General features: G+C 46.0%; 1 protein-coding gene across 55 annotated transcripts in view, besides 4 other annotated features; it reads right to left on the bottom strand.

Moving 5' to 3' along the window:
* RALGPS1 (Ral GEF with PH domain and SH3 binding motif 1) overlaps window positions 1-12,890 on the bottom strand; it is a 308,385-nt gene that overhangs the window by 48,882 nt on the left and 246,613 nt on the right. For all 55 annotated transcript variants that reach the window (XM_011519233.2, XM_047424120.1, NM_001322321.2 and 52 more), the window contains 2 exons: window positions 8,079-8,216; window positions 5,513-5,606 (listed from right to left, as the gene is read on the bottom strand). In XM_011519233.2, coding sequence (XP_011517535.1) covers window positions 5,513-5,606; window positions 8,079-8,216 — 232 coding nt within the window. The remainder of the gene's footprint in view (window positions 1-5,512; window positions 5,607-8,078; window positions 8,217-12,890) is intronic.
* Window positions 6,666-7,165: an enhancer, noted in NCBI's record as "H3K4me1 hESC enhancer chr9:129929399-129929898 (GRCh37/hg19 assembly coordinates)". NCBI's record gives its function as "activates a minimal SCP1, AML or CMV promoter by ChIP-STARR-seq in naive H9 embryonic stem cells {active_cell/tissue: H9 hESC(naive)}" and the evidence as "EXISTENCE:reporter gene assay evidence [ECO:0000049][PMID:30033119]".
* Window positions 6,666-8,128: a biological region, named in NCBI's record as "CDK7 strongly-dependent group 2 enhancer GRCh37_chr9:129928436-129929635".
* Window positions 6,929-8,128: an enhancer, noted in NCBI's record as "CDK7 strongly-dependent group 2 enhancer chr9:129928436-129929635 (GRCh37/hg19 assembly coordinates)". NCBI's record gives its function as "activates an origin of replication core promoter dependent on BRD2, BRD4, P300/CBP, MED14 and CDK7 cofactors, with strong dependence on CDK7, by STARR-seq in HCT116 cells {active_cell/tissue: HCT116}" and the evidence as "EXISTENCE:reporter gene assay evidence [ECO:0000049][PMID:35650434]".
* Window positions 7,166-7,667: an enhancer, noted in NCBI's record as "H3K4me1 hESC enhancer chr9:129928897-129929398 (GRCh37/hg19 assembly coordinates)". NCBI's record gives its function as "activates a minimal SCP1, AML or CMV promoter by ChIP-STARR-seq in primed H9 embryonic stem cells {active_cell/tissue: H9 hESC(primed)}" and the evidence as "EXISTENCE:reporter gene assay evidence [ECO:0000049][PMID:30033119]".

The raw sequence follows: 12,890 nt of genomic DNA, 5'->3' as shown, positions 1-12,890 counted from the left end.
TTTCTTTCTCTCTCTCTCTTTTTCTTTCTTTCTTTTCTCTCTCTCTCTCTGTCTTTCTTTCTTTCTTTTGATGGAGTCTTGCTCTGTCGCCAGGCTGGAATGCAGTGATTCTCCTGCCTCAGCCTCCCAAGTAGCTGGCTGGGAATACAGGCATGCGTCCCCAACCCCAGCTAATTTTTGTATTCTTAGTAGAGACGGGGTTCCACCATGTTGGCCAGGATGGTCTCAATCTCTTGACCTTATGATCTGCCCGCCTCGGCCTCCCCTTTTTTGAGACAGAGTCTCGCTCTGTCGCCCAAGCTACAGTGCAGTGGCAAGATCTCGCCTCACTGCACCCTCTGCCTCCCAGGTTCAAGCGATTCTCATACCTCAGCCTCCCAAGTAGGTGGGATTACAGGCGTGTGCCACCATGCCTGGCTAATTTTTGTATTTTTAGTAGAGGTGGGGTTTCACCGTGTTGCCCAGGTTGGTCTCGAACTCCTGAGCTCAAGTGACCAGCCCGCTTTGGCCTCCCAAAGTGCTGGGATTACAGGCATGAGCCACCGCACGTGGCCTCTCAACTGGAGTGTTTAATGATTACACTGCACTCCCCATGATCAGATGCCCTTAGAGAGGCACAAGGCAACGGACATGCTATGAGGACTGGCCCTTCAATATATCTTTTTGAAGCACCGAATAGGAACTTCTGGGTGAAAATGACAGAGTGAGACTAGATGCCAGACTCTCCCTCTCCTCCCAAAACCAACAAAAAATTATAAAAGCTTACAAGTAAAAGAACTCACCAGGTGCAACTAAACAAGGGAAGGGGCATAATTTAAAGCCATGAACTTCAAAGAATTAGAGTTAAGGAAAGAAAAAGAGGATTCTGAAACTGGACCAAGAGTTGCATCATGGCATGGCTCCTGTCAAGCCCAATGAGGGGTCTCACTGGGTCTGAGTGGGGGTCCTTATCGCTCCCTCTGCTGAATGGCACCAGCTGCTAAGGAACTAGGTGGAGAGCACGGCAGCTCCTCTGATGGAAATGAAGGCTCCACGGGGCATGATGTGAAACCTGAGGGTACCTCTTTCTGGAATGGGATACAGCTCCCCAACGAGGTGAAGGAAACTCCAACATAGGCCTTTTGCCAGAACACACATATGTGAAACAGACTGCTTGCTTACTGCCTCCACAGAGCCTGAGCCTTCTACTCCCACAGGCTACAGAAGAGGAGAAAGACTAAAACCCCTGGACCTCCCAGCTAGCAGTAAGGGTTTCCCCCCTCACACACATGGGAGGAGGGCCAGACATCTCTCCCACCCTCGGATCACACCCATGGAACATCCAGACAGAGCTTCTCAAATGGGAGCCAGAAGAAAAGAAATGGTATGGCAATACAGCCAACATCCTCTTGCAAAAGAAGGAAAGAGAACAGGTGAGCATTGCCCAATGGCCCAACCGAGAAGGCAGCCCCAGGAGCAGACGAAATCCCCTCAAGTGCTTAGAGCAGTGGAACAACTTATTACAAACACAAGTAAAACAAAACCCGAAAAATGAGATGCTAAAACAAAGGAATGAGAAGAAAAAAGGAGATTGAAGACCTAGGGGGAACAAATCCAGGACTGAAATAAGAGAGTGCTGAATGAATACCTAAGTAGAAATAGACAATCCCAGTTACAGCTGATGAACAAGATGGAGGTTGCCGCTGTTAGCAAGAAGCGAATGGCTATGACGGGCAGAGAGCATCCAACACGGACGGATTCCTGGAATCCCTGGAAGAGAGAAGCCACGAAATGGCACAGAAGTAGTCAAAGATATAAACAAAAGGAATTCTTCTGCCATGAAGAAAGATGACGACACCATGGTCTGGGGAAATCTGGTACAGAACCCTCTACTCTGAGGCATTCTCTTATGAAGCTTTTGAACTTTAAGGAATTCTTCACCTACCAGGCAGACAGGACCCTTAACAAGAGGAAAAAAAAAATTAGATGGGCTCATTCTCTACAGCAACACCCAAAGCCCAGAGGCAACGGCACACGGCCTGCAGTGCTGAGGGAGAGAAACAAAGGAGGGCAGCCAGCAAGGCCGGGTCTAGTCCAACACAGACATTTCTCTGAGGGAATGCAGGGCATGCGGGCCCTGTGAGCACTTTTATTTTTCTGGTGGAGCAGTAGGTAGGGGGTCCTACTTCCTGATGAAACGCAGCTAAATTAAGGGACTGATTAAAATAAAGACTCCAGGAATGGAAAAACTATGGAGAAACAACAGGTGGTAAAAACTGAATCTGTTTAAAAATACTAAACAGTAAGAATTATGATTCCTGAACATGCTTATGTTATAGACTTGGACTATGTGGTAATAATAACACAACTAACAAAAAGTTGGAAGCTGGTGAAGTGGAGGTTAAGGAAGGGGAGAGGGCTAATATTCTCATCTTTCATAACCAGAGTTGGCTGACACTGTTCACAATGGAAACCTAGTTAAAATAAAACTTATTGACTCAAGCCTCCTAATGTTTTTCCTGATCTCTTTTATTATTATTATTTTTTTTGAGATGGAGTCTCACTGTCACCTAGGCTGGAGTGCAGTGGCGCAATCTCAGCTCACTGCAACCTCTGCCTCCCAGGTTCAAGTGATTCTCTTGCCTCAGCCTCCCGAGTAGGTAGGACTACAGGCGTGCGCCACCACGCCAGACTAATTTTTGTATTTTTAGTAGAGACGGGGCTCACCATGTTGGTCAGGCTGTTCTTGAACTCCTGACTTCAGGTGATCCGCCCTCCTTGGCCTTCCAAAGTGCTGGGCTTACAGGCGTGAACAGGCATGAGCCACTGTGCCCGGCCCTCTTTTATTAATTTTAGAAGGCTCTTTTGGAAAATAATCTCTCTTTTGGTAAATAAATATTTAAAGAGCAGCATTTTTTTTTCACATGAAAGTTTTTTTCTAGTTAAATTAAAATGAAATTAAAGTTAGTATTTTAAATTAAAAATAGCCAGTGTAGTAGAATCCAATTTTAATATTCTATCCTTCTATCCATCCATCTATCCATCCTTCCCTACATATATACACATTTTCTATGCATAGAAAAATGTCCAAAAGTATGTTCACTTAATGCTAATGGTCATGCTTTCTAGGTAATGGGAAATTGGGTAATTTTTCTTAAATAAAATAAAATAGAATAAAGGCTGTGGGGAATAAAGCACTGGTTGGACCTCTTGGCATAACATCTCCAAAGCAGATGGGGGAGAATGTCAGCAATGCAATGCCACTAAGGTAATAACTAAGCCATTGCATCCTTGTGGGTGAGGAGCCAGCCTCCAGATGTCAGTTGGGCCATGGAGTGTGGGTCCTCAAGCAGAATCACAGGCTCTGCCCATCTCTTGCCCCTTGGGGCCAGGACCTCCCTGAGGAGGAACTCCCTAGATGGTCTGAGGGCCGGGGGTGAGAATGCAGGCCTCCTCCCTGGGTTTGTCCACTTTGACCACAACAAAGAGCTAGGCTGACTGTTGTTTAGCATCAGGTGCTGAGGCGTTACTCCTTCAAAGTAGAAGGAGTAATTACTCATGATTTGCAGTTTGTCCAAAGATTATCTCATGGTCAGAAGTACTTATAGGCCATTTTTCTGTCTAAAGCATATTAGTGTTAATGAAAAACCATTGTCTCCTTTATCACAATACTGGTGCATAAATGGAAAATATTATCCCAGAAACTAAGTGGGAATAATTTTGTACTCCAGGGCACTCTTTTCAGGAAGAGCCAATGCTTCGTAAATAAATAAAATGAGCTTGATTTGTGGTAAGCATAATTTTAATGGTAATCTCTGGCTTTCATCTATTGTTGTTACTATTGGGTAACAGATCACAATTTCTTATTATAGTTTAACAAATTATTATATAAAACAACTAAAAGCATTATGTCTATGTTGCAAAAGATCATTAGCACCACCTAGGGAGCTTTGAAAAAATACAGATTTTTCAGGCCCCACCCCAGACATCTGGATGGTTAGAGTTTCCCAGGTGACTCTGGTTCACAGCCACGGCTGCAGACCACTCCTGTAAAGCTGACCAGGTGGGACACTGCTTGAACATCCGTTCCCCTTAGGGTCTTTCCTGGTGAGTGAACTGTGGGTAACGTGGGGGTTGTCTCTGTGGCTACAGTTCTCTACAGTTTTCACGAACTTAGATGAAGACCATGCAGTCTGGCTAATTAAATTCACAGACACAAAACTGGAAGAGATAAAAAATATACTGGAATAACAAGATTCCAAGGAATCATGGCATATTGGAAGCCATCATAAGATAAGATTTAAAAGAATACAGATGCTCCTCAACTTACGACGGGGATACATCCCAATAAACCCATCATAAGTTGAAAATATTACAAGTCAAAAATGCATTTAATACATTTAACCTACCGAACACCATAGCTTAGCCTAGCCTACCTTAAATGTGCCCAGAACACTTATAAGAGCTTACAAAATCGTCTAACACAAAGCCTATTTTATAAGGAAGTGTTGAATATCTCATGGCATTTATTAAATACCGTGCTGAAAATGAAACACAGAATGGCTGTATGGGTACTCAAAGTACAGTTTCTACTGAATGTGCGTTGCTTTCGCACCACTGTAAAGTTGAAAGATCGTTAAGTTGAACCATCCTAAGTTGGGGACCATCTGTGAATGTGAAGTTGACATTTAAGAGGTAAATGATTGATTACAAGATGGCTGGGACTTGCCTTAATACCAGGTCATATGAAAAAGTACTGAGGTTCTTAGTTAGTCTCAATCAAGCTGAAAATGGGCCAAGAGGACTTGCCAAGCAGTATGGCAGACAGAGTTAACACGAAAAAAATCCTTCTTTTCCCTCCAAATACATAGAAATGCTGGATAAATTCCCAGATGCCACAAATGAAGAAAGAACTGAAAGCCTCAGCAGGGTTAGTGGAAGATGAGGCCAAAGGGCCCATGGGTTTGTTATGAGAACTGGGTCTACTCCACTGGGGCTCTACGGGGAAGGAGGTAGGGCCTTGAATACTGCAGAGAGCTGAGAGTTATAAGGAACTGTCTCATCCATGAAACAGGCTCTTGGAGAACTCTGTTTGCTAGTCTGGAGATATGGCTGGAAGCTGCCTTGCCACCCAGCACTGTGGGTGGGGGAGTCACTTGTGAGAACCAGAGCACCACGCCTGTGCCATTCACAGCTGTGGGGTCCAAGTTCATATTATCCACGCCATGTGGGAAAGCCATACTGAGAAGTTAACACAACACCTTACTCTGAACTGGGGGGCCCATGAGGATGGGGCAGAGATGGGTATGAGAGCTGTTCAGACATCACCACTGCGGGGCTGTGAGGTCAAAGATCACACTGCACGCGTGTGCTTGTGTGTGCTGGGGCCTGGGCGCTACTGCTGTGGACTCTGATAAGCCCTGCAGGTGGCTACTCACTGGTCCCAACAAGGGCTAGGCCACTTGCAGGGACCTGAGCACTAAGGACAAAAGTGGGGCTGGGAGGCCTGACACAGGAATACGTGGGGACTTACTTGTAGTTGTCGTCTTCCACAAACTTCTGGAGCTCTTCAATGTAGCGTACGGACTTCAGGTACTTCTGCACATGGGGCAGGGTGGTGAGGTGATCTGCAAAAGGTGGACCACATCCAGAAACTTTAGGCTCTCCCATCTTTAGGCCCCCAGATGAGAAGTATAGAAATCATGATTTTAGATGCTCCCAGGATACTGAGACTCATTCACTCTTCCAGCAGTTGCTGATGCTCTTTGGGGACTGGCCCTGTGCTGGCCACTGGAACAGAGGGATCATCAGGCCTGGGTTCTGCCCTCAAGGAGTACCCCCCAGATGACCGGGCCTCAGTCACCACACTCTGAGGCCACCATGTTTTTTTAGCCAGGAAGGAGGAGCTGCACCTCCACTCAGATATCAGGGACTGGGGAAAGATGGCTCCCTGGCCTCCAAAACAGACCAGAGCCAGGTGTCTGTGCCCTAAAACAGGTTTCCATTGGGGTAACTGGGCAAGCCTCCTATATCTACCCACCAGCTGTGTGACATGAATTCAAGAATGAATGAACAGACCCTGTCCAGCCAGGTGTGGAGGCCTAACCCAGAAGCTGGCCTATGACTGGAGCTGCTGCACCCTAGGAAGAAAGGGAGGGGTCCAGGCACCTGAACATGCCTGTACCAGGCTCTGCAGCAGGTAATTTTATAGGAGTCATCTTTGTTAACCTTCACACCTGCCTCACGTGGGAGAAACAATATCCCCATTGCACAGAGGAAGAAACTGTGGCAACCTGCACAGGTCGCATTGCTGAGAAGGGCAGAGCTGGGTTGGGACTTCAGGTGATGGAAGGCTTCTGCCACACGGTGTTGCCCGTTTCTGGAGGGACTGGTGTCAGCTGCTCTCTGCAGACCTTCACAGTCACTGCACTCCTTCTGAGAGGGCCACTGGGTGGGACAGAACAAGCCAAGAGGAGAGGTGGAGGGAGTAGAGGAGGTCGTGAAGAGGAACAGAAAAGAGGGCGAGGAAGGACCCTCGCTTTCTGGAGAGGTGCGTCCAGGTGCAGCATGAGCACCCGATAGCTCTGGCCTTTCATAGCGAGATTCTGAGCAGATCATTTTGTTTCTCTGAAGCCTCAGTGTCCTCTCTCTGAAGTGAGGATGATACCTGTTTTACAAAACTGATGGAGATGACGCAGGTGAAGGTGAACAGTGGTAAGAGAGCATTTGCTGGGCTCTCATGAAATGCCAGGGACTGTGCTAAGGGCTCTGCATGAATCCTATCCCCATTTTCATGCATGAGAAAACCTTCAAGGGGAGAAAGTGACTTTTCAAGAGACAAAGCTGGAATAGGAACCGGAGTCCATCTGACCCTGAAGCCCATGTCTGTGGTTGCTCTGCTGGCCAATGGAACAACAAGTATCAATGTATTTGTGCTGGAGATGGCCCAGGCCAGGCGAAACCTGCACTGGGAATACAGGTGCCTCCTACCCCTCCTGTCAGAGGAAAGCGGCCCTGAAGTGTGGGAACCCCCACCCTGCCTGGGGATGCTGTGGAGGGGCTGGTGAGCAGGGCTCTTGCTTTGGTGAACCCACCCTGGCTTCCCTGTGACATTCCCAAACGGAGGCTGTGGATTTTCTCACACCCTACGCACAGCAAGTGAGGCTAGGCTCCTTCCTACCACCCTTCTTTGGTGCTTCCGGACTTTTACTCCTCTGCCCTCTTGTGAAAGCCTTGCTCCCCAGAGGCAGGTGCCTAGAGCCCCACCCCCCATGCACCACACCCCCTTCACGGCTGACTTCCGCTGACTAACCGCCTGCTCATCAGTGCTAATTCCCAGAAGACTTGAGCACCTGGCTCATAGTCAAGCTCCACACCCCAAGTCTGCCATCTTCTCGGGTGAAATCAATCCCCACATGGATGGCCCATCCAGCATTCTGACATCATCTCCAATGATTTTCTCCATCCCTCTTACACACCCCACCATCATGGGCACACTGTGGATTTGGCCACGTGCAGCAGAGTGTGGCCAGTCGCTTACCACATCATTTCCCTTCTCCCAGGCCCACAGCTAGATTATATCTCCTAGCCCCTGTCAGCAAAAGTGGCCTGCACTGCTTGCAAGCCTGGACCATAAAACCCACCCATATATGGTTCTCTCTCATCCTGCACCTGCCAGCTGGATGCAGAGTCCAGTGGAGGATTCTGAGGCCATGGGAGACAGCAGAGTCACAGAACAATGAAGGCTGGTCCCCGAATCTGCTTGGAGGAGAGCTGCCCAGAAAGCTCTTCATGAATGAATGACCCAGGGGCCAGAAAGACCTGAGCTCTGCCACTCACTAGACGCGTGATTGTGGACAAGTGACTAAACTGTTTTCAGCCTCAATTTCCTCACCTGTAATACAGAAATAGTAACACCTAGTTTGCACAGCTTTTGAAGATCAAACCTATGTATAAAAGGATCTAGTACATGTTTGATGCTCGATATATTAAAATGAGGAACTTTGTAGTTCTTTGAAAGGTTTCTAGAGCTTTCTCACTGGTAAGACCCAAATTTCAATGACGTAAGATTTCACAATTCTAACAACAAGGGTACTAACCATAGCTGCAGGAAACTTGTAAATCAGCAATTATTCGAAGAATATTGTTCATCTGATTGGATCTTTGTTCATTTTCCATGATACTGCCTGAGGCAGGATATGCAGAATCAATGTAGATTAAATCCAGAAGATAGATTCCTAAAATTAAAGAAGATATTTCATGATGGAAGGAGCTTACCACAAACCAGAACAAAATAGCACAAAATAGTACTGATCTGCTAAAAAATATAAAGGGTGACTTATGGAAAACTGAGATAATATTTGGACTTTAATTCCAATCCTGATTACTAATTTTTTCACACAGCACTGCCCAACTATAAATCAAACATCTGAGCAACAACCAAAATGTATGCTGGCAAGATTTTAGCATTTCTAGTTCAAATACTCTCCAGCAATAAGGCTTTTACCTGTAACCCAACTAGAAAATAACAGGACATGAAAGGGATGAATACTTGTGTTTCTTACCAACTGCTGAAGTTTAATAGGTCTAAGGTGCCATGTCCAGGAGAACACCCATTTGGGCTGAATTCAGTTTCTTCTTTATTTGCCCAGCTGTCTATTTGTCTATCTGTTCCCCTACCCCTACCTCACCATACATTAACTAAGAAACAAAAGAAAAAATTAAAAAAGCAACAGCTCTCAGTACAAAAAATTCCCTCTAAAGCTAGAGAATTTGGCCAATCGTGCTTAATAAGAAAATAAGATGTGAAATAAAAATACAGCTATGTTACAGAAATAGTAACATGTAGTCTGCAAAGCTTTTGAAGATCAAACCTATGTCTAAAAGAATCTTAGTAAGATCCATCACAGGCCAGTGATAAGCCGGGGGGATTTGAGGACAAACTGCCTGGCTGGGGAAGGGGAAGGGCCGCTGGCTATTCAGCCACTACACAGCTCTCAGCTGGCTGACTAGCTGCAGGGCCGAGCTTCAGACCACCTGGAGATGTGCATGGGCCAAGGATGGAACGTCCTTTCAGCTGCCCTCCAGGAGCACTGCTATTGTGCCCACCACACTGGCAGAGTTGGGCAGGAGAAGTGACATAAAGCAGAATTCAAGGCAGAAAACATTAAGCAAAGCAAGGAAGAGTGCTTGCTCTAAAAAACAAAAGTCCAGGTGATCAAGAAGATCTAATGGTTACAAATTTCTATGCATAAAGAAACAACACATCAAACAATACATAGCATAAAAAAGTTAGAAATGAAAAGTGAGTTCAACAAAAACACAACCATAGAGGGAGGCTTTGGTATGTCTTTTCCAGAATTTATATAAGCATATATGTATACATCATACACATATATATACATATACACATATATATATTAATGCAATGATACAGTATTACAGTAACAACGTTAACAAGTTTTAGGGCAGAGCATAGTGGCTCGCGCCTGTAATCCCACCACTTTGGGAGGCCGAGGTGAGCGGATTGCTCGAGCCTAGGAGCTCGGAACCAGCCTGGGCAACATGACAAAACCCCGTCTCTACAAAAAACACAAAAATTAGCTGGCCATGGTGGTGCATACCTGTAGTCTCAGCTATTTGGAAAGCTGAAGCAGGAGGATTGCTTGAGCCCAGGAGGTGGAGGCTGCAGTGAGCTGAGATCATGCCATTGCACTCCAGCCTGGGTGACAGAGCAAGACTCTGTCTCAAAAAAAAAAAAAAAAAAAAAAAGGCCAGGCATGGTGGCTCATGCCTGTAATCCCAGCACTTTGGGAGGCCAAGGCAGGCAGATCACCTGAGGTCAGGAGTTCAAAACCAGCTCGGCTAACACGGTGAAAGCCAATCTCTACCAAAAACACAGAATTAGTCACGTGTGGTGGTGGGCGCCTGTAATCCCAGCTACTCGGGAGGCTGAAATAGGAGAATCACTTGAACCCAGGAGGCGGAGGTTGCAGTGAGCTGAGATTGGGCCACTGCACTCCAGCCTGGGCAACACAGCAGGACTCTGCCTAATAATAATAATAATAACAAGCTTGGTTTTCTATAAATGAAAATATAGTTCTTTTCAGGTACCCATGGAGTACAAAAATTGATTGTATATAAAGAAAACCTCAGTAAGTCCTAAAAAGTAAATGCTATATTATCTACTTTCATTGACCTTACTACATCTAGGATTTAACAATAAATACAGAAAAAAAACTAACCATTTGAAAACACACACGCATGCACACACACACTCATATAACTCTTAGGTCAAAGAAAAAATAAAAAATCTGTTTGAAGAATCTATTTGAAGACAATGACAAGGAGAATACTACATATCAAAACTTATGGGTTCTGACCAAAATGGTAATCAGGGGGAAATTTATAGCCTTAAAAATTTACTATTAAACAACTAAGAATTATTACAAATATTGGAATTAACTTGGTTAATTATATAAAAGTTGTGAGGGTTTGTGCATGGATAGATGAGCACTGCACTAAGAGTTATATGTTCATTATCTGATTTATCCTTCTAACAAGCTATTTTACAGAGAAGGAAAAGGAAACTCAGAGAGGATGTGTAACTTGCTCAAGGTCATGCAGCTGGTAAATGAAAGAGACAGGAGTTGAACCCAAGCCTGCCTCCTCCAGGGTACACACTTCCTGCCATTACAGTGGAGCACTGGTGCTAGATACCATGAGTCATTCGTCTGCTTTTAAAATAGATGCACATTGTTACGGGAAACTGTTAAATCACAGAAACATATGCTAATACTTCTCACAGGAGCCATTTCCACTTCCTTTCTTCCTGGTGGTACCATGTTTCCAAAATTTTAATAATTAGAAATAATTTCCCTTGTAGAGAAGCTCCAAGTTTGGTGAGTTTGAATCCACAGATTTATTCTTTCTCTTCACCTTGTTTTTCTTCTCCTCTCTTAAAAATGTAACTCAGTTTTAGGGTACATGTGCACAATTTAAAAAAAAATGTAACTCAGTTACCACCCTGAAGCGTCAGCAACGGCAATCCTGAAAAATGCTATTACTGCTTCAACCACAACAAAAAGCATCCTCTAGTGCATGGCAGGGAGTGAAGAGATGTGGGACATAGGGCAGCTTTATTCCAGACGCAATGTGCAGACTTCGGCCCAGCTGGCTCAGAGTGGCAGAGTGAAAGCTCAGCCTAGAAGCAGAGAAACTGGAGAGCAGGATGGGGGGAAAGGCAACTTGCTCCCTGGGTATCAAATCCAAGACAGAAACTTCCCTCCTGTCTCATGGGATCCTGCCACCAACCCTGGAAAGTAGGAGGAGAAAACTAAAGCTCAAAGAGATTAAGAAACCTGCCCAAGGCCTCACAGCAAGGGTGATGGAATTTGAACCCAGGTCTATCAGGCTGCTGCACCCATGTTCCCATCCACTGGTCATCAGAAACACAGAGGGAGTTGCCTTTTCTCAAGTAACACCCTCAACATGAAAGGTGCACCCTGTGCTGCCCTGTGAGAACAGGTGCCGGACACTGGGCCTCCTCTTGGGTTCCTGGAAGTGGATCCCTGAGTGGTGCTCTGCAAACTGAGGCCCACAGAGTTCATAATTCCCCTCTACAAAACGTGCAGATGCCCACACCTGCCTACTCCTCAAGACCCAGGAGTGTGAGCCAAGGCCATACCTGCTGCGGACTGGGTAGAGCACCCCTCAAAAGGAAGCCTCCTGGCTCCAGTGATGTGGGGAGACCTTGAGCCTAGGCAATGCCTAGAAAGAACTTCCCTATAAACAGCCTTTCACTCCCACAATGAAAACCACAGCACAAGCAGCAAGTCTCCTACAGTTAACGCTGCACAAATCCACAGAAATCTTTTCAGTACTGTATTAGTCCACAACAGAGATATGTATAAGCCTAAACTATAATGAAATCGTAAGAATAACCACCTTCCACTTGTACCATGTCAGGCACAGTGCTGAGCTCTACATGTAGTTGGCACACCCCACAACCGCACACAGACACTTGTTTGCATCATTTGTGTATTTCAAATCTGACTCCCCATCAGGCCTAACGCCTCAAGGGCAGGAAGTGTGTCTTGCTCCAGGAGCTCAATCTCCAGCATCTAGAACTGAGCACACAGGAGCTGCTTGGTAAACGCTGGCTGACAAAGGAATGCATGAGAGAAGGCATATTTTATTTAACTCATACAATAACCTTATGAAGCACATGTTACCCTCGTTTTGTAGCTGAAGAGAGAGCCACCACCAGTCAAGTGATGATAAAGAGAGCTAATGCTTACCGAGCACATACTGTGTGCCAGGTCCTAAACTAAGAGCTTTGCCCAGATTATCGATTCATAAGAAAAATGCTGTTGTCAGGGAGGTTTCATTGTGATTTTATAAGGAAAGAAACTGAAGCTGAGAGTGCACCGGGAATACCGTTTGTCTGTGGCCACACAGCTGGGAACTGGCAGAAGCAGGATTTGAGCACAGGTCTGTCCAGGTTGTCTATGGGCGGTTCTTCTTTTACTCCAGCCAGACTCTCTGGTGTATGGCAGCCAGTGAGGCAAGATAGGGGCATAGGTGAACCCAGGCTATGGCTGTCCCTGCCTGATTTCCCCTATGGGGTCAACACTCTCCAAAAGGGCTCATGACTCTACTGTGGCTGCCTCCCCTGTGCCATCTACCACCTGCTACTCTCCACCTCCCTCATGTCCACTGTGGTCAGTCTGGTCAGCCCCAGGTCCCATCATCAGTGTCCCACCCAGTCCTGCGGGTCCTTCCAGCTCTGCCACATGACAAGCAGCTGTGGTATAAGTGAGAGAACGTGGGGCCCGGATCCAGGAGACTCGGAACCCAGGCTCTCCCACTCACCAGCTGGGTGGCCTTAGGCAAGCCTTTTTACCTCCCAG

The sequence above is a fragment of the Homo sapiens genome, chromosome 9 (genome assembly GCF_000001405.40).
Source record: "Homo sapiens chromosome 9, GRCh38.p14 Primary Assembly".
NCBI classification, from domain to species: Eukaryota; Metazoa; Chordata; class Mammalia; order Primates; family Hominidae; genus Homo; species Homo sapiens.
Note: the sequence above shows the minus strand (reverse complement) of the source record. Positions and strands in the feature narration are given on the sequence as shown.